General features: G+C 51.6%; 1 protein-coding gene and 2 long non-coding RNA genes across 9 annotated transcripts in view, besides 5 other annotated features; 1 reads left to right on the top strand and 2 right to left on the bottom strand.

Moving 5' to 3' along the window:
• Positions 1–20,588, top strand: part of CTNNBIP1 (catenin beta interacting protein 1) — a 61,994-nt gene extending 41,406 nt beyond the window's left edge. For all 7 annotated transcript variants that reach the window (NM_001012329.2, NM_020248.3, XM_047425762.1 and 4 more), the window contains one exon: positions 18,088–20,588. In NM_001012329.2, coding sequence (NP_001012329.1) covers positions 18,088–18,146 — 59 coding nt within the window. In that variant the 3' untranslated portion in view covers positions 18,147–20,588. The remainder of the gene's footprint in view (positions 1–18,087) is intronic.
• Positions 8,327–9,221: an enhancer, noted in NCBI's record as "H3K27ac-H3K4me1 hESC enhancer chr1:9919701-9920595 (GRCh37/hg19 assembly coordinates)". NCBI's record gives its function as "activates a minimal SCP1, AML or CMV promoter by ChIP-STARR-seq in primed H9 embryonic stem cells {active_cell/tissue: H9 hESC(primed)}" and the evidence as "EXISTENCE:reporter gene assay evidence [ECO:0000049][PMID:30033119]".
• LOC105376717 (uncharacterized) lies at positions 13,372–18,199 on the bottom strand. Its single transcript, XR_946952.3, has 2 exons — positions 17,820–18,199; positions 13,372–13,586 (listed from the first exon to the last, which is right to left on the bottom strand). It is a non-coding gene; the product is annotated as an uncharacterized LOC105376717 (long non-coding RNA).
• Positions 16,806–17,606: an enhancer, noted in NCBI's record as "H3K27ac-H3K4me1 hESC enhancer chr1:9911316-9912116 (GRCh37/hg19 assembly coordinates)". NCBI's record gives its function as "activates a minimal SCP1, AML or CMV promoter by ChIP-STARR-seq in naive H9 embryonic stem cells {active_cell/tissue: H9 hESC(naive)}" and the evidence as "EXISTENCE:reporter gene assay evidence [ECO:0000049][PMID:30033119]".
• Positions 18,642–18,691: an enhancer, noted in NCBI's record as "active region_139". NCBI's record gives its function as "activates an Ori minimal core promoter by ATAC-STARR-seq in GM12878 lymphoblastoid cells {active_cell/tissue: GM12878}" and the evidence as "EXISTENCE:reporter gene assay evidence [ECO:0000049][PMID:35858748]".
• On the bottom strand, positions 18,710–20,546 carry CTNNBIP1-AS1 (CTNNBIP1 antisense RNA 1). The gene is made up of 3 exons (NR_199045.1): positions 20,398–20,546; positions 19,390–19,495; positions 18,710–18,878 (listed from the first exon to the last, which is right to left on the bottom strand). It is a non-coding gene; the product is annotated as a CTNNBIP1 antisense RNA 1 (long non-coding RNA).
• Positions 18,772–18,911: an enhancer, noted in NCBI's record as "active region_138". NCBI's record gives its function as "activates an Ori minimal core promoter by ATAC-STARR-seq in GM12878 lymphoblastoid cells {active_cell/tissue: GM12878}" and the evidence as "EXISTENCE:reporter gene assay evidence [ECO:0000049][PMID:35858748]".
• Positions 20,046–20,547: an enhancer, noted in NCBI's record as "H3K4me1 hESC enhancer chr1:9908375-9908876 (GRCh37/hg19 assembly coordinates)". NCBI's record gives its function as "activates a minimal SCP1, AML or CMV promoter by ChIP-STARR-seq in primed H9 embryonic stem cells {active_cell/tissue: H9 hESC(primed)}" and the evidence as "EXISTENCE:reporter gene assay evidence [ECO:0000049][PMID:30033119]".

Genomic DNA, 21,891 nt, shown 5'->3' with positions numbered 1-21,891 from the left:
AGGAGTTCAAGACCAGCCTGGCCAACATGGCAACATCCTGTCTCTATTAAAAATACAAAAATTAGCTGAGCATGGTGGCAGGTGCCAGTAGTCCCAGCTACCCAGCTACTTGGGAGATTAAGGCAGGAGAACCGCTTGAATCTGGGAGGCGGAGCTTGCGATGAGCCAAGATCACACCACTTTACTCCAGCCTGGGCAACAGAGCTAGACTCTGTCTCAAAAAATAATAATAATAATAATTGTTAGGGGATAGGACTATATAAGAAACTTTAACTTTCCAAGTCACACATTTTTGTAAAACTAATATTTTAACATTGTACATTTGTTTCTTTGTCATAAGGGAAAGTTAAAAAAAATATTTTTAGGAGAACTCTTGCCTAGCCGAACCCACAGTTAAGAATAAAAATGAGCTCTGCCAAGTTGTTGAGGAAGGTCAGTGACCCCACTTAGCTGTTGACCTTGCCCTGAAACTGCTGAGCAGTAGGAGCAAGCTGGCAGCTGTGACCAACTGTGTGGGCCGTGGAGTCCAGGCCCTTCTGGGTGGGTGGTGTCTGTCCACAGCTACTTCTTTCTCCGGGGAGGGGTCTTCTGGAGCTGAAGCTGGAGCCAGGGAAGACCCCAGGGAATCGTTGCGGAATAGGTGGTGGGAGTCACTCCCTGCTGCTGGGGCGCCCTGTGGACTGCCCCTACCTCCATAAAGATACCTCTAACCTGGCTGCCGGGGCCTGAGCCACACAGACCTGAGCTGCAGGAGGTTCTGAGAATTCTGTGGACTGGGAGTGGAGAGGGGAGGGGTCAGCCATGTCTGGAAGAGTTTCATAAGCATATTTATTTTCTTTGCGAGCCTAACGACACCACAAACAAACACAACAACAATAACAGCAGAACTGCAATCAGCCCAGTCCCATACTGGGCTTACCCATGTGAGGGCAGGACCCTGCATCTGCCTGTGCCATGTGGGCAAATGGATCTCTGTTAAAATCTCACCTGCCCACCTTCTCCATCGCAGAGCCAATCTCAGCTGATGCTGCAGGATCCTGCTGTCAGAGGCTCAGACACTGCTTAGGTGGAAGAAGCCCTGGATTGTTGTCTCCAGGGACTGGGGCAGGATGCGGGGGCCAGAGCAGGGTGCAGAGACTGCCATAATGAACCCCAAAGGCCTGGAGCCTGTGGGTAATGGCCTGGCGTGCACCTCCTGCCCACTAGGTGGCGCTGTCTCTCAGCAAATGCTCCAGGCTGCTTTAGGTGTTCCCTGAGCCAGAGGAGGCTCCATCTACCCCGGGACTCCTCTAGCAGGGGGTCTGAGGCAGACCCTCCAACGGACAGCACCCGACCTTGGTCCTGAGGGTCTGGCCGCCACCTTTAGCCCTGCACATGCTTCCCCTCCAGGGCTGGATGGGTCTGGTACCTGGGGCACTGCTCCCTTACTTGAGGCCCAGGGAGGGGGCCGTGGGCACCCCTTTACCCCCTACCCTTCGATTCCTTCCTCGGTCACATTTGTTGAGTATCTATGGGGAGCCAGGCAGGTGCTGGAGACCCTGGGGTGGGGGCCTCCCCTTACGGGCTCACCAGGTGGTTCCAGCAGAGGCCCCAGTGGCCCCCCAGTTCCCAGCCTGCCTGGCCTCTGCTGGGCTGAGACCACCAATGACAGCCTCCTTTCCCTCCCTTGTCCTTCACGTCACCCCTCACTGGCTGTTTCCCACTCCCTTCCCTCAATCAGGGCTGTCATCCTCCAGGGTTGCCCCCTCTCTTCTCCCTGTTCCACACGCAGTGCTGTGATCTCAACAGAGAACATAGCCAGCTGACTGTTGGCCAGCATCACCACAGCCACCCATGCCCAGCTGACATGGATTTTCCACCTGTGCTCTGCCCTGACCAATGCCCAGCAAGTACACGGCGCCCGAGGACTCAGCCTCGACTCCTCTCTTCCTCAGGAACCTAATGGGTTACTGAGTCCATCCTAAGGCTCCCCAGACCTGCTTCATTCTCTCCCTCTCATTTCCAGCCCCCTCTTGGACTGAGCCCATATTCACTCTTGTCTCACAGCTTCAGATCACTCCTATCTGGCATCTCGACTTCCCATCTTGCCCCCTCAGGTCTGCTCTCTACCCCCACAGCTGGAGAGACTTTTGGAGGCTTAGAGTGACATTAGTGGGTCTCTACTCGACTTTTTTTTTTTTTTTTGAGAAGGAGTTTTGTTCTGTCACCCAGGCTGGAGTGCAGTGGCGTGATCTCGGCTCACTGCAGCCCCCACCTTCCCAGTTCAAGCAATTCTCCTGCCTCAGCCTCCCGAGTAGCTGGGGTTACAGGCTCCCGCCACCACACCCAGCTGATTAGAGACGGGGTTTCACCATGTTGCCCGGGCTGGTCTCAAACTCCTGACTTCAGGTGATCCATACACCTTGGCCTCCCAAAGTGCTGGGATTACAGGCGGGAGCCACCATGCCCAGCCTCCACCCAACTTAAAATCATTCAGTGGCTCCCCACTGCCTTGAGGATAAAATCCAGCCCCTTTAGCTTGGTGAGCAAGACCTGACCTCACACTGTAAAGGGCCATAGTGAATGGCCATGTTCATGCCTTTCTGCCACTGCATTTGCCTCTTGGCCGCCAGGAACCAGCCTTCACCCCCACCTTACTCCCCTGCCCCCTGCAACCTGGGCCAGGCCCTCCTGTCACATGTGCATGTACCTCAGCTGTGCTACACCCACACTGTCTCCTAATCCATCTATTGACCGGGCTCTGAGCTCCTTGAGCTTGGAACTGTGGCTTCCATCTTATTGTTTGTCATGTTTGGACAAATAAATGAACTGGGTTCTAGTCCCCAAGGGTGTCTAAGCAGACCTGGAAACCAGAGAGACTTGGCTTTGAACCAGAGGAAGTCAGTACTTCTCAGGAAGGTCGCCCTGCTGGGAAGGGGCAGCTGCAGGAATGGGGAGGTCCAGAGCTTCCTGAAGCAGGCCTGTGGAGTGCTGAGTCCAGGCTTCTCTCATGGTCAGTGTGGCTCCCTCTAATGCGTAGTGATTTTTTTCCCAGTTATAGAATTGTGCATAGTCATTTTAAAAAACTGGGGAAAGGGAGAAAGAGCAGAAAAGTTTGAAATATTGAATCCTACTGCATAGCTGTAATCACTCTTACCCTTTGTTAAGTTCCCTGTCATCCTTTCACAAACATGCATACATCTGTAGCACAAGGCTGGGACCATAAACATTTTAATACCTGTTTTTTTTTCTTGTTGTTTTTTTGTTTTGTTTTGTTTTTTGAGACAGAGTCTCGCTCTGTCACCCAGGCTGGAGTGCAATGGTGCGGTCTCGGCTCACTGCAAACTCCACCTCCCGGGTTCATGCCATTCTCCTGCCTCAGCTTCCTGAGTAGCTGGGACTACAGGCGCCCGCCACCACGCCTGGCTAATTTTTTATATATTTTTTTAGTAGAGACGGGGTTTCACCGTGTTAGCCAGGATGGTCTCAATCTCCTGACCTCGTGATCCACCTGCTTCGGCCCCCCAAAGTGCTGGGATTACAGGCGTGAGCCACCGCGCCCGGCCTTAATACCCATTTTTAACATCCATTTTTTACGCATGATAATTTCACTGTGTTCTTAAATAATTTCCAATAAAACTTTTTTTTTTTTTTTTGAGACAGAGTCTCACTCTGTTGCCCAGGCTGGAGTGCAGTGGTGCTATCTTGGCTCACTGCAACCTCCACCTCACAGGTTCAAGCAATTCTCTTGCCTTAGCCTCCCAGGTAGCTGGGATTACAGGTGCATGTCACCATGCCCAGCTAATTTTTGTATATTTAGTAGGGATGGGGTTTCACCATGTTGGCCAGATTTGTCTCAAACTCCTGACCTCACGTGATCTGCCCACCTTGGCCTCCCAAGGTGCTGGGATTATAGGCATGAGCCACTGCGCCCAGCCCAGCCACATGCTTTTTTAAGCAGGACAGTGTTTACTTGAGGAACAGGGATGACTTGGGCTGTTAGGTATTTCAGAAAGGGGCAGAACAAATGGGGAACACTTTCTGCTGCATTTTTACCCTGGGCCCTCCACCTATAGGTGCCTTCCAATGTGCTGGTTCTCTGAGAGCTCCGGGTCTCTTCTTGCCTCAGCACTGCACTGGGGTGGTGCCCAGCAAGTACAGTTCCAGGCCTCTGATGGTGCTTTGCAAAGGCCACCCATGGCCAGTCACCCGCAGAACTGTCATCCTCCCACAGTGCCTCAGAATAGGCCCTTGTCCGGCCAGGCACGGTGGCTCACACCTGTAATCTCAGCACTTTCGGAGGCCAAGGTGGGCGGATCACGAGGTCAGGAGATTGAGACCATCCTGGCTAACATGGTGAAACTCCGTCTCTACTAAAAATACAAAAAATTAGCCGGGCGTGGTGGCGGGCGCCTGTAGTCCTGGCTACTCAGGAGGCTGAGGCAGGAGAATGGCGTGAACCCGGGAGGCGGAGCTTGCAGTGAGCCGAGATCGCGCCACTGCACTCCAGCCTGGGCGACAGAGCGAGACTCGGCCTAAAAAAAGAAAAGGCCCTTGTCAAGGTGTTGCTGAGAGGGACCCCGCCTAGACCTAGACTTGGCTCATTTTGTCAAGGAAGCTCCTTGTTTTTTCTCTGCCTGGGGGCCTCCTGGGGCCATGCCCTGGTCTGCTGCCACCCTTCTTGTCTCTGGGAGCTGTGTGCTGGCACCGGGGCTCCCAGGCCTGTTCCTGCCTCCACCTGATCACACTCTTTCTCCAAGACACTTTCCAGGGAAGGTTCCCCCAGCTGCGGCCAGCCAGGCTTTCCCCTTTGGAAGCTGAGGCTGCTGGTTCAGGATCTGCTGCCAGAGAGCCTAAACTAGGTCAGTTGGCTTGAGGGTTACACTGGGAACCTTGTTAAAATATCTGTGGTCATGGGTAGATCAGCAGAAACCAGGCTGTAAGGAAACGGCCTCTCCTTTCGTAGCATGGCATGAGGGAGGCAGCTCTCTGCTCACCAACCCCCTTGACCCCCTCAGCGGCCCTGCCCTATTAGGGGTGGTGGCATGATCTCCATGTTACAGCTCAGTGTGGAAAGTTCTTCCTGGAATCCCCCATAACAGCCTTCCAGCCTCTGTTCTTTCACTTCCTTCATGAAGCCCTCGCTGACCCCTTCCAAGTCAGCATGTGCCCTGGAGCTCCATGCCAGTCTTACCACCTTATGTTGGCAGCCCCTCGGGACCAGGGTCTGTGCCGTGTTCACCATCACACATGAGTCCCCCATCCCGCCTCTGGTGCAGTGTAGGTGTCTGCTGGATGGATGCCTGGACTGCGCCTTCCAGGGCCAGGCTGCTGGAGCAGCTCCTCCTTGGGGGCAGCCGGCTGGGCCCCTCCTTTGCACTGGCCCGGTGCCACACGGATGATCTGCTGGGGTTTCTGGGTCCCCTCTCTCCCCGCATGTGGCTTGGAGGCTTCTCTCAGAGGCTCCAGGCGGTAACAGACTCTGCACTGAAATTATAGTCAGGCCCAGGGAGAATTCTAGTCTATGAGATGGGAAGCTAATCTTTGTTAACTTTAATCAACACTTATATGAGAATTACCTGTAACCTAATAACAAAATTAAACCAAAAATCACCTATATATTGAATTGAACAGAAATCAGCCAGGAGGATTTGGTGTATAAGTTGTGTCACTGAAAAAGGGGGAAAAACAATCCCAAGAAAAGCGAGGAATGTGCTGAAGTGCAGGGCCAGCTGCTTACTCAGCACCTGGCTGCGGCTCCAGGGAGGGTCGCTTTGACCCCAGCTGCTTACTCAGCACCTGGCTGCGGCTCCAGGGAGGGTCGCTTTGACCCCATCACCCCGCGTCATGGGTTCTGTTGTTTAGAACTGAGAACAGATGCCCGAATGGCCTCAGAGAAGTCCTTGTGGGACTCTACACTTCCCCCCTCAAGCCCTGGTAAGAGGCAGGCCCTGTCAGAGAGGGGCATTGAGGGCTGCTCCATCCAATGGCTGGACGGTTCCACTCACATCAGCCCACAGTTGCTGTGTGCTAGGCACGGTGCCACCCCTCAGCACTGCCCGTGAGCTCCTGGACCAGCAGAGCAGACTGGCGTGTGAACTAATGCGTAAAGAGCTTTGGGCTGAGGGAGGGGAGACCACCTAGGAAGCCACAGAGAAGAGGTGCTGTTTGCACGGGGCCTTGGAGAATGCATGCGGATGTGCGTGTAGAGAAACCGGTGGGAAGGATGCTACAGGATTCTCCTCCAGAATGCTGGGCAAGAAGGCATGACAGCTTGGGGTCGGGTGGAGGTCAGGGGACAGTCTGTAGCACTGAGCTCTCTGAGCATGCTCTACACATTTGCACACCTCAATCACTGAGGGTGCTTGTTAAAATGCAGACTCCTGGGCCCTGCCATAGCCCCAGAATGCCTGCCAGATGAGCCTGGGAATTTGCATTTTAAGCAAGCTCCCAAGGTGATTCAATTCTGATGCCCACTAAAATTTGAGAATATGCCAGGATGGGGCAGGCACGGTGGTGCATGCCTGTAATCCCAACACTTTGGGAGGCTGAGGCAGGAGATCACTTGAGTCCAGGAGTTTGAGAGCAGCCTGGGCAACATAGTGAGACCCCATCTCTATTGAAGGTGTGTATATAAAAGAAAAAGAAAAAAAGAGAGAGAATATGTCAGGGTTTTAGGTGAAGACCTGGTCTTCTCTGTCCCTTCTTGGCAATCAAAGCTCCCTGGTCTATGAGAGCTTATATTTTGGGGAACCAAGGAATTTGAATACAGGGAATGAACACCTTACCTGGGAAGACATATCACAAAGGTCATGTGTGTGTCACGCTCAGCAGGGATGGGAGGGTGGGAACAGGGCAAGATGGATTTGGGGGAGCACATCTGGGATTAGAACAGAGCAGGGATAACGGAGCCCCAAGGTGCGACCCTGTGGGATGTCGTTTATGATGCTTTATGCTGTGGATGTTATCCTGTGGCTAGTTAGATTGGGGATAGATTCATCACGTTGTACAGATGAGTAAACTGAGGCTAGATGTGCAGGGACTTCCCCCTGGGATACACAGCTAGTCAGAGTCAGACCCAGGCTGGGTATCAGCTCCAGGGTCTTGGTACTGGGGTACCACAAGGGACCCCAAGCCTAGGAGGGCCTTTAGCTGCCTCCTGAGCTCTTTTTGGCTGTTCCAGGAGGCCTGATGTCTCTACTGGGAGCTGGCTCAGCAGCTTGGCAGCTCGATGCACGTCCACACAGCACTGGCTGCTGCAGTGCCACCGCCCAGCAGCCTCTTGTGCCTGTGGTGGTTGTCAGCCTGGAGCCCAGGAGGCGCCCCTGAGCCTGGTGCTGCTTTGGCTGCTAAGACCCTGGTGGATCACTGGTCGCCGGCCGCCATCCCCATAGCAACCCAAGTGTATGCTGTCTCTGGGTAAAAGCCATCCCCTGGGGACTCTGGAGCATCAGAGCTGAGATGTATAGAACACCCAGCTCATAGTCCCGAGCTGCTGAAAATAGCACATGCCACCAGCAGGTCTTGGTTTGTGTGGGAGGAGGCCCAGTCCAGGGTGGTACCTGAGTTTTGTCCCCTTCAGAAATGCTTCCCTTTGGAGGAGCGTCTGGGTCCTGCTTTTCCAGGTAGCCTTTCCCTAGAGCTGGTAGTTCAGCCACTGCAGTTTTGGATAGCCAGGTAGCAGATGCTAGTTGGTATTAATAGCAAGATTAATGAGCTCGTGGGAGGAGGAAAAGGTACCACAACCAAAAACCATATGGTCAGAGAAGAGGATGAGACACAGAGTGGGCGTTGTCCTGGACACTTGGGAGCATGTGGTCGCATTCCCTCTCCAGCCTGGTCTGCCATGTGTGTCAAGGATGGGCCCTGGGCTTGCCAGGTGGCATTCCCTGGACAGTTGTGAAGCACTTAGCCAAAGTTAGCTCCCTCTGCTGATGGTGACTCACAAAGGGAGCTCCCCGCATCAGCCATGAGAATTTGCAGACCCTGAAGATTTCAGGTCACATTTCTGAATTTTCACGCCCCACTTTTTTACCCTCTTTAGGAGGAGTAAGGCTCCTGAGGAGTTCAGGAGGCCTCCAGGTACCTGACCCCAGAATGTCTGACACCGTCCTGGGAAGTTCTGGCCAGCAAGGAAGAGGGGTGGTGAGGATTTCAGTGGTCTTGCAGGATGATGTGGCAGAAGCTCCCTGTCCCCAGGGCACATGGTTGTGGGGAGCTGGGCCTGGAAGAATCCTGATTCTTTTTTCTTTTTTTTTTTTTTTTTGAGAGATGAAGTCTTGCTCTGTTGCCCATGCCAGAATGCAGAATGCAGTGGTGTGATCTCGGCTCACTGCAACCTCCGCCTCCCAGGTTCAAGCGACTCTCCTGCCTCAGCTTCCCAAGTAGCTGGGACTACAGGCATATGCCACTACGCCCAGCTAAGTTTTGTTTTTTTTTTTTTTTTTTTTTTTTTTAGTAGAGACGGGGTTTCACCATGTTGGCCAGGCTGGTCTTGAACTCCTGACCTCAGGTGATCCACCCGCCTCAGCATCTTAAATTGCTGGGATTACAGGCATGAGCCACCACACCCGGCCTAGAATCCTGGTTCTGAATTGGGTGATGCGGGAGTGTCCATCTGTGACTGAAGTTCCCCTTTTTCTCCAGTGACATTGTACAGGGCTGTGCCCTGCCTGGTCTGTGGAGCCTGCAGGGCCTGCGGCCTTTGGGAGTTTAGCCAGGCTTTTTTGTACCCTCATCAATTTTGGAGGAAGGACTTGTGCTCAGGTCTGTTTTCTTTCTCCCTGGCCACCTCTGAGCACCTGTGCTGAGTTGGACTTTGCAGGATCCTGGATCTGGAGAAGTTCCCTGGGGTAAGAGGTCAGCTTGTCCCTCCCACACCCAGATGCTTTGGTGAAATGAAGCCAGGACCAAGCCCTCCTCTTTGCTGTGAAAGCAGACCCCACCATGTTGGATAGTCCAGGGAGGCACCCTGGAGGTGGGAACAGGGTCTACAGATCAGGGTCACAGGCCTTTGTCTGCTACATTTCACCCATGTGGCCTGGGACCAGCCTGTTTCCAAGTTTGCAAATTAGGAGCTAGTGCAGCACTAGGCTCCGCCAGGATTTCCCCAGCCAGGTCTGTGAAATGCCCTTGCTCTGTGGATTGGCCTTGGGGCTTTAGAATCTCCATGCTCCTCTCTTTCATCCACTATTGCTGACCCAGCTATAATCCTGCAGGGCCAATAGCAGCCTGCCCTGGCAGTTCAGGAAATGCATCGAGCTGCCCAGTATATTCAGGAAAGGACCTTTGAAAGACTTCAGCTTAAGAGTCTCAAATAGCAAGAGGGATTCTCAGCAGACTTTGGGAGTTGTCAGAGGCCCCCAGGAGGCTTTCTCCAAAAGCCTGAGTAAGCCAGGCCAGGCCTAGGGTGAGTGTTGGCGGGAGCAGAGCTGGTTCCAGCATGCTGGTGGGAGTTCATCCTGAGCTCCCATTGTCTCTCTCCCGCCCCCGGCTAGGGGCCAGCTTCCCTTTTCTAAGCTCCTGCATATTTGTCATTTTTTCTCCCCAGTCAATTGACTGGACTCCACTAAAGGGGCAAAGCTGGCATTGGGCATAGGATGGGAGGGCCTGCTGGATACCCTGTCCTGGTTTAGAAAGCTGCGCCTTTGCCAGTGTCCTGGCCCTGGTTTCCAGGGCAGGTGAGCCAGGGGACTAGTGAGGTGTCTGGTAGGGCAGTAGGCAGAGATAGGGAGCAGGGCTCAGGGGAGATAGGAGTGGGGACCAGTTGGGGGCAGGGGGCCAGGGCCAGGGCTGTTCCCAGGTTGGCACTCTGGGTTCCATGTTGAATTATCTCCAAGGTGTCCCTGGGCTGCTTTGGTGGTGTTTTTAAGCCCTGGTTCTTAGTTCCATTCTGATGGAACTAAGATGGAACTAAGATGCTAGGAGGCCAGTTGAGCCTTAGTGCTGTGGGTGACTGGAGAGGTCTGTGGTTTCCTTTCTCCTTCTAGGGTGAAGGCATGGGCTTTGGAGTCTGGATCTGGGTCTTCTCTCTGCCTCTGATTCACTGAGTTGCTTTGTCTGTCTGAGTTTCAGTTTCCTCATCTGTAAAGTAAAGATTCATCCTGTGTCCCAGGTACTTGCCCAGATACTGTGACTATGTCAGTGAACAAAACAAAGTCCCTGATGACATGAGATGTACGTTCCAGTGGAGAAAGGAAGGTCAGCTCAATATAGAGCTCTGTGGGTAGCACTGAGGGTGCTGAAGACCTCATTCACCTGAAGTATTGAGACACAAGGGCCATTTTAGAAGTTGTGTTCAGGGAGGGCCTCTATGAAGTGCAAGAACCATGGGATAAACTTGGAGAAGAACATCAAGGCAACAGAAGCGGCAGGTGCAAAGGCCCTGGGGTGTAAGGACTTGTGCTTGAAGGATGGCCAGGGGCCCATGTAGCTGGCGCAGTGAGTGGTGAGAGGTGTGTTGTAAAGGGAGGCGAAGTGGCAGTCAGAGACCAGCGTGTGTGGGTCCTGCAGGCCACAGTGAGGAGGTGGGCGTTGGCCTTGAGTATGATGAGCAGTCTTGCAGTAGAAGCTTCTGGAGGGTTTTGAGCAAAGGCATGGTAGGAGCTGACTTAGGTTTCTAACAACTTCCCCCTGGCAGTTATGTGGAGAATGGACCATCAGGGGCCAGCGAGAGGAGGTCAAGGCAAGCGGGGATTCAGGAGTCCACCCACCCCCGACCAGGGTGGTGGTGGCAGAAGTGGTGATGTACTTAGCATCTACCTTATAAGTAGCGAAGTAGAGTCAATGGGATTTGCTGATGCATTGTGTGTGGAGTTTATGTATGACAGAGGGGTTGGGAAGACCCCAGGACTTCTGACCTGAGCAACAGGAGGATGGAGGTGCCATCAGCTGAGATGGGAAAGACTGTGGAGCAGGCTTGGCAGCTGCACCACCTGACACTCCCACCAGCAATGAATGGATGAGGGTTCCAATTGCTCCACAACCTGGCCAACACTTGTTCTCATCTGTCTTTTTGATTCTAGTAGATGTGAAATGGTTTATCATAGTTTTGGATTTTTGTTGTTGTTGTTGTTATTGTTTTTGAGACGGAATCTTGGTCTGTCGTCCATGCTGGAGTGCAATGGCGTGATCTCAGCTCACTGCAGCCTCCACCTCCTGGGTTCAAGAGATTCTCTTGCCTCAGCCTCCCCAGTAGCTGGGACTACAGGAGCGCACCACCACATCTGGCTAATGTTTGTATTTTTAGTAGATACGGGGTTTCACCACGTTGGATAGGCTGGTCTCAAACTCCTGACCTCAGGTGATCTGCCCGCCTCGGCCTCCCAAAGTGCAGACAAAGTGCAGAGATTACAGGCGTGAGCCACTGTGCCTGGCCTTTTTTTTTTTTTTTTTGAGACAGGGTCTCATTCTGTCACCCAGGCTGGAGTGCAGCGGTGCTATCTCAGCTCACTACAAGCTCTGCCTCCCGGGTTCACGCCATTCTCCTGCCTCAGCCTCCCGAGTACAACAGTCCCTCCCGGGACTACAGGCGCCCGCCACCACACCCGGCTAATTTTTTGTATTTTTAGTAAAGACAGGGTTTCACCGTGTTAGCCAGGATGGTCTTGATCTCCTGACCTTGTGATCTGCCCATCTTGGCCCCCCAAAGTGCTGGGATTACAGGCGTGAGCCACCGCGCCCAGCCACCCATTTTTTTAAATTGGGGTTTTCTCCACTTTTTTATTATTGAGGGTTTTTTTTGTTTTGTTTTGTTTTGTTTTTGAGATGGCATCTCACTCTGTCACCCGGGCTGGAGTGCAGTGGCGTGATCTTGGCTCACTGCAACCTCTGCCTCCCGGGTTCAAGCGATTCTCCTGCCTCAACCTCCCGAGTAGCTGGGACTACAGGTGCCCGCCACCACACCCTGCTAATTTTTTATTTTTAGTAGAGACTGGGTTTCACCATGTTGGCCAGACTGGTCTCGAACTCCTGACCTCAGGTGATCCCCCATCTCGGCCTCTCAAAATGCTGGAATTACAGGCGTGAGCCACTGCACCCAGCCTATTACTGAGTTTTAAGAGTTCTTTATGGACTAGGCATGGTAGCTCATGCCTTTAATCCCAACACTTTGGGAGGCTGAGGCAGGTGGATCACCCAAGGTCAGGAGTTTGAGACCCGCCTGGCCAACATGGTGAAACCCCGTCTCTACTAAAAATACAAAAATTAGCCGGGCATGGTGGCTGGCGACTGTAATCCCAGGTACTCTGGAGGCTGAGGCAGGAGAATCGCTTGAATGCGGGAGGCGGAGATTGTGGTGAGATTGAGATCACGCCACTGCACTCCAGCCTGGGCAACAGAGCGAGACTCCCTCTCAAAAAAAAAAAAAAAAAGAATTTTTTACGTATTTTGCGTAATAGTCCCTTACCAGATATATGATTTGTCAACATTTTCTTTCATTCTGTGTGTTGTCTTTTCACATTCTCGATGGTGTCTTTTGAAACAGAAAAGTTTTTAATCTTGATAAAGTTCTCTTTATTTATTTATTTTTTTCTGTTGCTTGTGCTTTAGATATCATAACTAAGAAACCATTTCCTGCCAGGCGTGGAGGCTCATTCCTGTAATCCCAGTACTTTACATGGCAGAGGCAAGAGGATGGCTTGAGCCCAGGAGTTCAAGACCAGCCTGGGCAACATAGGAAGATACCCCATCTGTCAAAACAATTTTTCTTTTATTTATTTATTTCTTATTTTTTTTTTGAGACAGAGTCTCACTCTGTCGCCCAGACTAGAATGCAGTGGTGCGATCTCAGCTCACTGCAACCTCCAGCTCCTGGGTTCAAACAATTCTCGTGCCTCAGCTTCCCGAGTAGCTGGGACTACAGGCATGTGCCACCACGCCCAGCTAACTTTTTGATATTTTTAGTAGAGATGGGGTTTCACCATGTTGATCAGGCTGGTCTCAAACTCCTGACTTCAAGTGATCTGCCCACCTTGGCCAAAAAAAAATTAATTAGCCGAGTGTAGCAGTGTGGGCCTGTGGTCCCAGCTCCTCAGGAGGCTGAGGTGAGAGAATCAATTGAGTCCAGAAGGTCAAGGCTGCTTTGAGTGCTGATTGTACCACTGCACTCTAGCCTGCGTGACAGAGCAAGACCCTGTCCAGGAAAAAAAAAAAAAAAAAAGCATTTCCTAATCCAAGGTCATAAAAATTTGTTTCTATATTTTCTTCCAAGATTTTTATAACTTTATCTCTTGTATTTAGGTCATTTATCCATTTCAGGTTAATTTTTTTAGATGCTGCAAGGTAAGAGTCCAATTTCATCCTGTGCATGTGAATATCCAGTTGTCCCACCACACATTTGTTCATTTCTTCCCCACTGAATTGTCTTGGCACCCTTGTCAAAAATCAACTGGCCATAAGTTGGAGGGTTTATTTCTGAACTCTCATTTTTGTTCCACTGATCTATATGTCTGTCCTTATGCCAGTACCACCCAGTCTCGTTGACCTTGCCTTTGTAGTAAGTTTTGAAATTGGGAAGTGTGAGTCCAACTTCTTCTTTTTCAAGGTGGTGTTGGATATTCTGGGTCCCTTCCCTTCCCATATGAATGTTAGGATCACCTTGTCAATTTCTACAAAAAAAAAAAAAAAAAAGGCAATTTTTACAAACTCCCCAAGAAAGGGATTTTGATAGAGATCATGTATTGAATTTTATTCAGTAATGTTGTGTACTATTCAAAGCATAAAAATTTGCACTTTGTTAAATTTGTTCCTAAGTGTTTTATTATGATTAATGCAATTATAAGTGGAATCATTTTCTTAATTTTACTTTGATTGTTCATTGCTAGTATATAAAAATACAATTGATTTTTGTATATTGACCTTGTATCCTGTACCTTTAACTTGTTTATTAGTCCTAATAGTTTTTTAGTGGGCCAGGTGCAGTAGCTCAAGCCTGTAATCCCAGCACTTTGGGAGGCCAAGGTGGGCAGATCACTTGAGCTCAGGAGCTCGAGACCAGCCTGGACAACATGGCAAAACCCCATCTCTACAAAAAATACAAAAATTAGCCAGATGTGGTGGCACACACCTATAGTCCCAGCTACTCGGGAGGTTGAGGTGGTAGGATTGCTTGAGCCTGGGAGGCGGAGGTTGCAGTCAGTGAAGATTATGCCACTGCACTCTGGCCTGGGTGACAGAGTGAGACCCTATCTCAAAAAAAAAAAATTTTTTTTTAGTGGATTCCTTATGATTTTCTACATATAAGATCATGTCATCTACAAATAGGGATAGTTTTACTTCTTCCTTTCCAATCTGGATGGCTTTTATTTCTTTTTCTTAACTTACCTAACCTGGAATGGACCTCAAGCCAATATTGAATAAGAATGGTGAAAGCGGACATCCTTTTCTTGTTCATAATCTTGGTAGGGAGAGTTTTCACAACAAATATGATAAGAGCTGTGGGATTTTCATAGATGCCGTTTATCAGATAGAGGTTGTTCTCTTCTAGTTTGTTGAGTGGGTTTTTTTTTTTTTTTTTTGAGATGGAGTTTCACTCTTGTTGCCCAGGCTGGAGTACAATGGCGCGATCTCAGCTCACTGCAACCTCCACCTCCCAGGTTCAAGCGATTCTCCTGGCTCAGCCTTCACAAGTAACACAGGCATGTGCCACCATGCCCAGCTAATTTTGTATTTTTAGTAGAGATGGGGTTTCACCATGTTGGTCAGGCTGGTCTCGAACTCCTGACCTCAAGTGATCCACCTGCCTCTGCCTCCCAAAGTGCTGGGATTACAGGCGTGAGCCACTGCACCTGGCCTTGTTGAGTGGTTTTATTATGTTGGATTTCATCAGCTGCTTTTCCTGTATGGTTTTTGTCCTTTATCCTATTGATATGGTGTTTTACAGTCATTGATTTTCAGATGTTAAACCAACCTTGCATTCCTGGGATAAATCTCACCTGGTCAGGGTATAGAATCCTTTTTATATGTTGTTGTATTCAGTTTGCTAGCATTTTGTTGGGTATGTTTGCATCTATATTCATGTGAGATACTCATCTGTAGTTCTCTTTTCTCATGATACTGTCATCGGGTTTTGGCTATCCTTATCTTTTAATGTTTTTGAGTGTGGAACAGGAGACACAGATCAACCTCTCCCCTCCTATGCTCACTTGCATCTGGTGGGAAGGGACAAATAGAAGCTCTGAGCTCAAGTTCAGACAGTGTCAACAGAGATACCAAGGGGGGAGACAGAGCTTCATCTGTAAAACAGGGTAGGAAACCCAGCTGGCAGCCTGGAGGCAGTGGGCTGGCCTGCTGCCCTCTTTGCTGTGCATCCAGGACAGCGAGACTACCTGAGGGAGCTGCCATATGCTGGTCTTCAAAGGAAAGACTGTAGGACTCAACCTCTGAGGTCCCTCCTGGCTCTAAAACTGCAGCTCTGAGGGATCGAGTCATGATCATAATCTAACAGCTCACCCTCCCTATTCGGTAACTGGCCCAAATTTCATAGAGAAGAGGAAAAGGGGAACCAGTGTCCTCGGCCAGAGGCCTGTCAGGTTCATGGTGAGACCTCATTGAATGACAAATACCTGGCCAACCAGTGACAAGGGTAGGTCAGAGAATGCTCTGGAAGAACTGAGAGCCTGCCTTCTCTTTCATCCCAAAGGAAAGCAGATCCTTGTGGTAAAGCCTGGATAATATCCTTAAGGAACAGAAGAGAGCACAGACAGGCCGCAGCTCCTCAGGCCTTTTCCTCTCTGCAGGGCTCCAGCAGCACAGTGGGAGGCTCTATAAATGCCACCAGGGAAGGGGGTGGCAGCTGGCAGTGTGGGAAGGGTAGGACTCTTGCAAATCCTTTGCTTCAAGTGTCTTGTTAAATAGCCATCAGAGTCCCTGTGTGACCTGGAGAAGATTACTTCCTTCCCACCCTCAGAGCGCAGGACAGGCACACACACTGGGCAGGCTGTGGAGTCGGGAGTCCTGGTCCCCAGGTCTGGGCTCCTCTGAGAAGCCAATGGCCCATTCCCTCTGTAGATGCACCATTCCCTCCTGGGGCATCCAGGGCTATTTTTGTGCCTGCAGCTCACTACAGAGGCCCAAGGTCCCTGAGCGAAAGGCCACAGGGCAGGCAGGGAGAGGAGTGAGCGGGCTGCCACCATCACTGCCACTAAGGCATCTTCTGCTGACAACTCCCCTTTCACAGACTCTTGCCAGCCCCCTTCTGATTAGCAAGCTGGGCAAGCAGCACTCAGGAAAAGTCGGCATCTGTTAGGTAACCAACTCAGCTGCCGTGCAGGGGATGATGTAATCTTGGATTCTGTGGTTGCTAGGAAAATTCTGCCTGCAGTGATATTGCGTGGTCCTAGGGCTCAGGCGAAAACAGAATGTTCCTGAGAAGACGGGAAGGATTCATAGGGCTTCCCAAGCGAGGGTGCCCCATCCTAGGAAGCTGGACAACTCGTGTCCCTTTCTAGATGCTTATTTCCCTTCTGAGCAATGGAGGTTGTGCTGGTAAAGCCAGAACCCCATGAAGGCGAGCTGGCAGTGGGAGGTGACAAGGCTCATTCCCTTAGCAGCACCTTGGTTCTCTAGTGCCAAGTGGAAGGTGTGTCTTGTGCATTGCATCCTTGTAGTTGGGCCCTCCATCTCTGGCCCTCCCGACAGCTGGGTGCGTCCTCCCTCTCTTGGTAGAGCAGTTGGAAGGAGGTCAGCACATGCCGGCTGTGGGGGAGACCCGGCTCACTGAGTGGAGGCCGGCTCACTCTGCTGACTCCATTTCACATGCCAGGAGCCTCACTTCACACTCCCCACACTGGCCCACCCTCGGGTGGCCTTTCCTGTCTCTCCTATTCCGATCCACCCCCTCCCAGAGAGAATACCTGCAGTAGCACAGACAACATGTCAGAAAGACCATGGGCAGCCAGACTGGTACTTTTCGGGGCAAAGTGAAGATCTGGCCTTTTACAAAGGGGGTGAGAGCAGCAGGACAGGGTCAGGGAGTCAAGGTGGGGCCCTACAGGTCACCTCCTGGCCCACAGCCCCTCCCTGGCCATGTCAGCCCCTAACTCCCCAGGCAGTTGTGGGTGTGGGTGGCAGGTCAGCATTTCGAGCTTTGCCCTCCTGCCACTGCCTGTCCTGGCCACTCATCAGAGCCTGTCCTCTGGAAAACAAGACAAAGGACGTGATTTCACAAGTGCCTGGGCCAGAATCTCAAATTCAGGATTAAGAAAAAGAAGGATTGGCTGGGCACGGTGGCTCCTGCCTATAATCCCAGCACTTTGGGAGGCCGAGGTGGGTGGATCATGAGGTCAGGAGTTTGAGACCAGCCTGACCAACATGGTGAAACCTCATCTCTACTAAAAATACAAAAAAATTAGCCGGGCGTGGTGATGCACACCTGTAATCCCAGCTACTCAGGAGGCTGAGGCAGGAGGATCGCTTGAACCCGGGAGGCAGAGGATGCAGTGAGCCGAGATTGTGCCACTATACTCCAGCCTGGGTGATAGAGCAAGACTCCATATCACACACAAAAAAAAGAAAGAAAAAGGAAAAAGAAAAAGAAAAAGAAGGATTGTGGGCATATCTGTCTCAGTCAGAGCCAGGCGGACAGCAGGCTGGACGTGGGCCCGGCCATACTTCTTGGAAGAGGTGTTGGGTTTGGGTGAAGGAGAAGCTGCTGCAAAGAGGAATGGCTATTTAAAACCACAGTGAGCCAGACCCTCCGAAGGCATCAAGACGCGAGTCTTGAGAAGAAAGAGGGAGGTTCCCAAGGGCCACCCCGCCTCTGGCTTTGGTAACTCTGGAGCAAGGGCTGTGAGCAGCGCTGAGCCCTGCTCCAGGTCACCTGGGGCCTCGTCATGGCTCACCTGTCAGCTGTGTAGCCTTGAGCAAGCCTCTGAGCCTCACCCTGGCAGCCCTGCCTTGCAGCCCTACAGCAGGGTTGCAAGCCTTGTCCCCAGCCAGGAGGCAGGGAAGACCAGAGGGGAGGAAGACTTCCTCGGAAGTACTTTGTCCTCAGAGAGTGCCGCGATCCTGGTGGGCGGGGGCTCCAGCTTGGCCGCAGCCTCCTTGCTTGTCCTGTTCGCAAGCCAATGCTGCAAGCCCCATCAGCGATCCTTGTCGCCTTATCTGCAGGTGCAGAGGACGTGGTGATGGCGTTTTCCAGGTCGGAGACGGAAGACCGGAGGCAGTAGCTGCAAAGCCCTTGGAACACCCTGGATGCTGTTGAGGGCCAAGAGATCTGTGTGGCTCCTGGGCCGGCTGAGTGGCAGCAGCCCCCCTTGCCCCACCTCCCCCTTCCCCTACCCAACCCTGCCCTGCCCCACCCCACCTCACAGCTACTCAGTGGGGCTGGCATCAAGGGAGACACCAGTGGTGCGTTTATAATTGGCTTAAAGGGATGGACTTGTGATTGGCTGCAGGAAGAAACTTTTTTATTTTTTAAATCTTGACCAACAGAAACCTTTTATTTTTATTTCTGACTCTTATTTTTTAAAAAATTTGCGCCTCGGTATCTGGCTTCCCTGGAAGCTCTCCGAGCTCTGGTGCTTTAGTTAGGTCATTTTTTTAGAAATGTGAAGAGGTCTGATTGGCTGCTTAAACTGGAAAGGATCTGTGATTGGCTGGTTAATGGGAAACGGTTTTTTTCTTTGGCTGCAGGTGTTCTGCTGATATCAACAGCTTCCCTATTTTGAATGCAGAAAACAGGGTCTGGGACATTAGTCGTTATATTTGACTTGAAAAGAAAGAAACCAAGTGCGCTTTGCAATATTTATTACACAAAGAACTTGCTGCTGCCTTCACATTTGGGGTTTGTGTTTGATTGGCTTTCGATGCGTGTGTTTGGTTTCCCATTGGTTCACCTGTGACTCCTGTTGCCATGGATTCACCCCCCTCTGCTGCCGGCTCTGGGCCTGAGGGTCCACCTGGAGAGTACATTTGCTTTAATGAGTGCACCTGCCTCCACCAGCAAGGGGACCCCGAGAACCCTGAGCAGGGTCCACAGCTGGAAAGTTGGGCCCCTGAGGAGCTTTGTGTCGTCTTGAACGAGCAGCCCAGGGCCTAGAGGTAACCGTTAGGCGGGATTTATGTGCACTGCCTGCATGAGCTGGCAACCAGCCAGCGTCCCTTGGTGAGAAAGGGATTGCTGAGGCACCGTCCAGGCCCCACCGGCCAGGCCGCGCCCAGCAGAGGCGTACTACCCAGCTCTGTCCTCTTGGCCATCCTTCTGTGTACCACTTCCTGAGGCCTCATTTTGGGGGTCATCTTGGAAAGGGGAGGAGCTTCTCCCAGTGTGAGACCCCAAAGACTCTGGAGGTCATCTGGCGGAGGTCTCTGGGAGCCCAGAACCCACATAAAAGCCCCAGCTTGGCTCACAAGGCCCAGGAGACCTCCAGCTAAACACCAACCCCTGACCTACCCCAGCCAGGCTCCTACCTGTCTGCTGCCAGCACAGTAGGTCCCGGCCAGCTCTGGAGTTCTCTCATCGGAGGCCCATGCCCTCCACTCCACTGCCTTTGGAAGGGTCTCTCTCCAGGTCAGCCTGGAAGGGACAGTATCGTTTGTTTATGAAATGCCACTGGGACAGCTGGCTGGGCCTTCACCAAGCAAGTCCCTTCAGACTGGCCCTTAAGCCAAACTCAGGCCCAGAATTGCAGTTCAGAATGGCAGTCCTGGAGGCAGGGGGTGAGGGGCAGGTCTAGTGTTCCTGCACCAAACCTAAGTCCTTCCACCTGCCACCCCCTTCCCTGGGAGGGAGGTGGTCCTCCTATCTCCCTGGCTCACTGGCAGGTGTGGGATCTGGGGAGAGCGGCTGGAGAAAGATGCAGTCCTCAGGAAGGGGGCCGCCACCCTCCCCTATGCTGGTAGATGCTGAGGCCCCTAGGTGCCCAGGGCCAGTGGGACCCTCTCAGAACCAAATCTTTCCCCTTTCTCGGGGCTTGGGGCTCGGGCCGTAGGGGCTCCTGAGTGTCATGAAGTGCACAGGAGCCAAATGACCGAGCCCTGGAGAGCCCCATGGTGGGTAGGTGGTTCGTGCTGTGCTCTGGCACCATCAGCCTGTTCCAGAAGGAGGATTCGAGCATCAGGCTAAGACCCTGTGTCCTCCACCATGCACTCACCCCTAGCCCTGGTTAGCTGACAGTCAGCTGTGGGGAACACAGCTACAACCCTACCCTGGCAGGGACCTGAGAGCATCTCAGGAGGGGCAGCGCATGTGTGCATGTGCTGTGTGAGTGAGCACACCCGTGTGCACACTCATACACATGTGCACACACACGCACTCTCCCCGCTCAGGGGCCTGGAGGTCTGGCTGAGCCCCTGGGGAAAGGTGAGTTCTTTCATCTCCCTCCTCCAGGTCGGAGTGCCTGGAGTCAGGTGTCGAGGCCACATTGCTGGCTGCCCCCTCTTTGTAGCTCCTATAAAGGGCCCACACCTGGTGGATACCTGGTTGAGTGTGTGGTCTCTGCCCCAGCCTGTCCTTGTCACGATCACAGGCCTTGCTTTTGTAACAATGATGACCCCGGCCTGTCTCATCTTCTGAAGAGGAAAAGTCAAAGTGTTGCTGTGGCTCCATATTTCAACTAAAAATATATCTGTTGGAGAAAGAAATTAACAATAAAGAATTTTCATAGGTTCGTGTGTGAGCTGAGCTGGTTTCTCCCTCGGAATCAGGCGCTCTGACTGATTTCCCCACATCACGTGGGCTCTGCTGCTGCGGGGGCCCCTCCTTCCCAGGGAGGCGCAGCCAGGAAGGACAACACCAAGTTTGATAAGTGTCTGTGACCTGAGTTGAGCTCAGGGTTTGGAAGAATTTCTAGATCTACCCAGCCCAGCTCAAGGGTCGTTAAGAAGGTTGAACCTTCTTTTTGACCTGGAGATTCTAAACATCATTCCAGATTCAACTGAGATCAGTAAGCTTCAGAGGCAACCTCGTCTTCCACACCTATGAAAAGACACTAAGCACTCCGTAAGGATGTGGGGACCCCGCCATCCTAGGCACCCCAACATCCTGATGTGATGGCACCAGTTTTAAAATGCTTGTTACAGACACCCAAACAGAATATCTGTCCCTTCCACCATCCCAGAAGTGGAAGATATATTGGTTTTTAGCTGTATGTACAAGTTTGGAAGCTGAAATCATTTCTGCTTCAATAATTTTTGCTTCAGAAGCATTTTCTAGAAATTTTCATTTCCACCCTTCATAATCCCATTTTTGGGTCTTTTTTTTTTTTTTTCTGTTTACATAGTCTCACTGCTTCTATTTCCTTTTCAAAGAATTTCACTGGGTCCTAGAGGCTATGGAGTTTACAGAATATGAGTACAATGGCACAACCAACATCATTAAGTCTTTGTGTTGGGGGAGATACTGGGTCTTGTAGCAGCCCACGCAGTAGCTAGATGCACAAGCCCCTCTGAAACATTTCTGAAAAGACCTTGTCCAGGCTTTGCTTGAATACTCTCTCGAGTTGGGGAGCTCACTACCTCACAAGTTAGTCCAGACCATGTTCATGTAACCTATGCTTATCCTTACATTAAGTTGATCTGCCTCTTTCTGTAACTTCTTGTCCAGAAAGGAGTTTGCAGTCATTGAGAGAAAGACAGAGATTGCTGTGTTAACCAGAAGTTACATAGAGACACACATCCAAGGGTCCGTGGTAGGTAGATTATGTGCAGATTCCACCCCTTGCCCAGCGCTCTGAGTGACACTGTCAGCCTTGTAGTTAATCAGCTCTTCTAAGCTGAGCCACTGAGTAGTTCAAGGGACTGACCGGCTGGCCCTGGTCCCACCTGCCCAGCCCCCAGCAGAGAGCTTGGAAACCGGAGCCAAGCGGGGTCGTCCTCCTGGCGCTGTCTAACCTGTCTAAGCTGCCTAAACTGTCATGGGAAGTAGGCCACGTAAATGAGTCGGGGACACTTCAGCAGGCAAAGGAAAAACAC

This window comes from Homo sapiens, chromosome 1 (genome assembly GCF_000001405.40).
Source record: "Homo sapiens chromosome 1, GRCh38.p14 Primary Assembly".
Classification (NCBI taxonomy): domain Eukaryota; kingdom Metazoa; phylum Chordata; class Mammalia; order Primates; family Hominidae; genus Homo; species Homo sapiens.
Note: the sequence above shows the minus strand (reverse complement) of the source record. Positions and strands in the feature narration are given on the sequence as shown.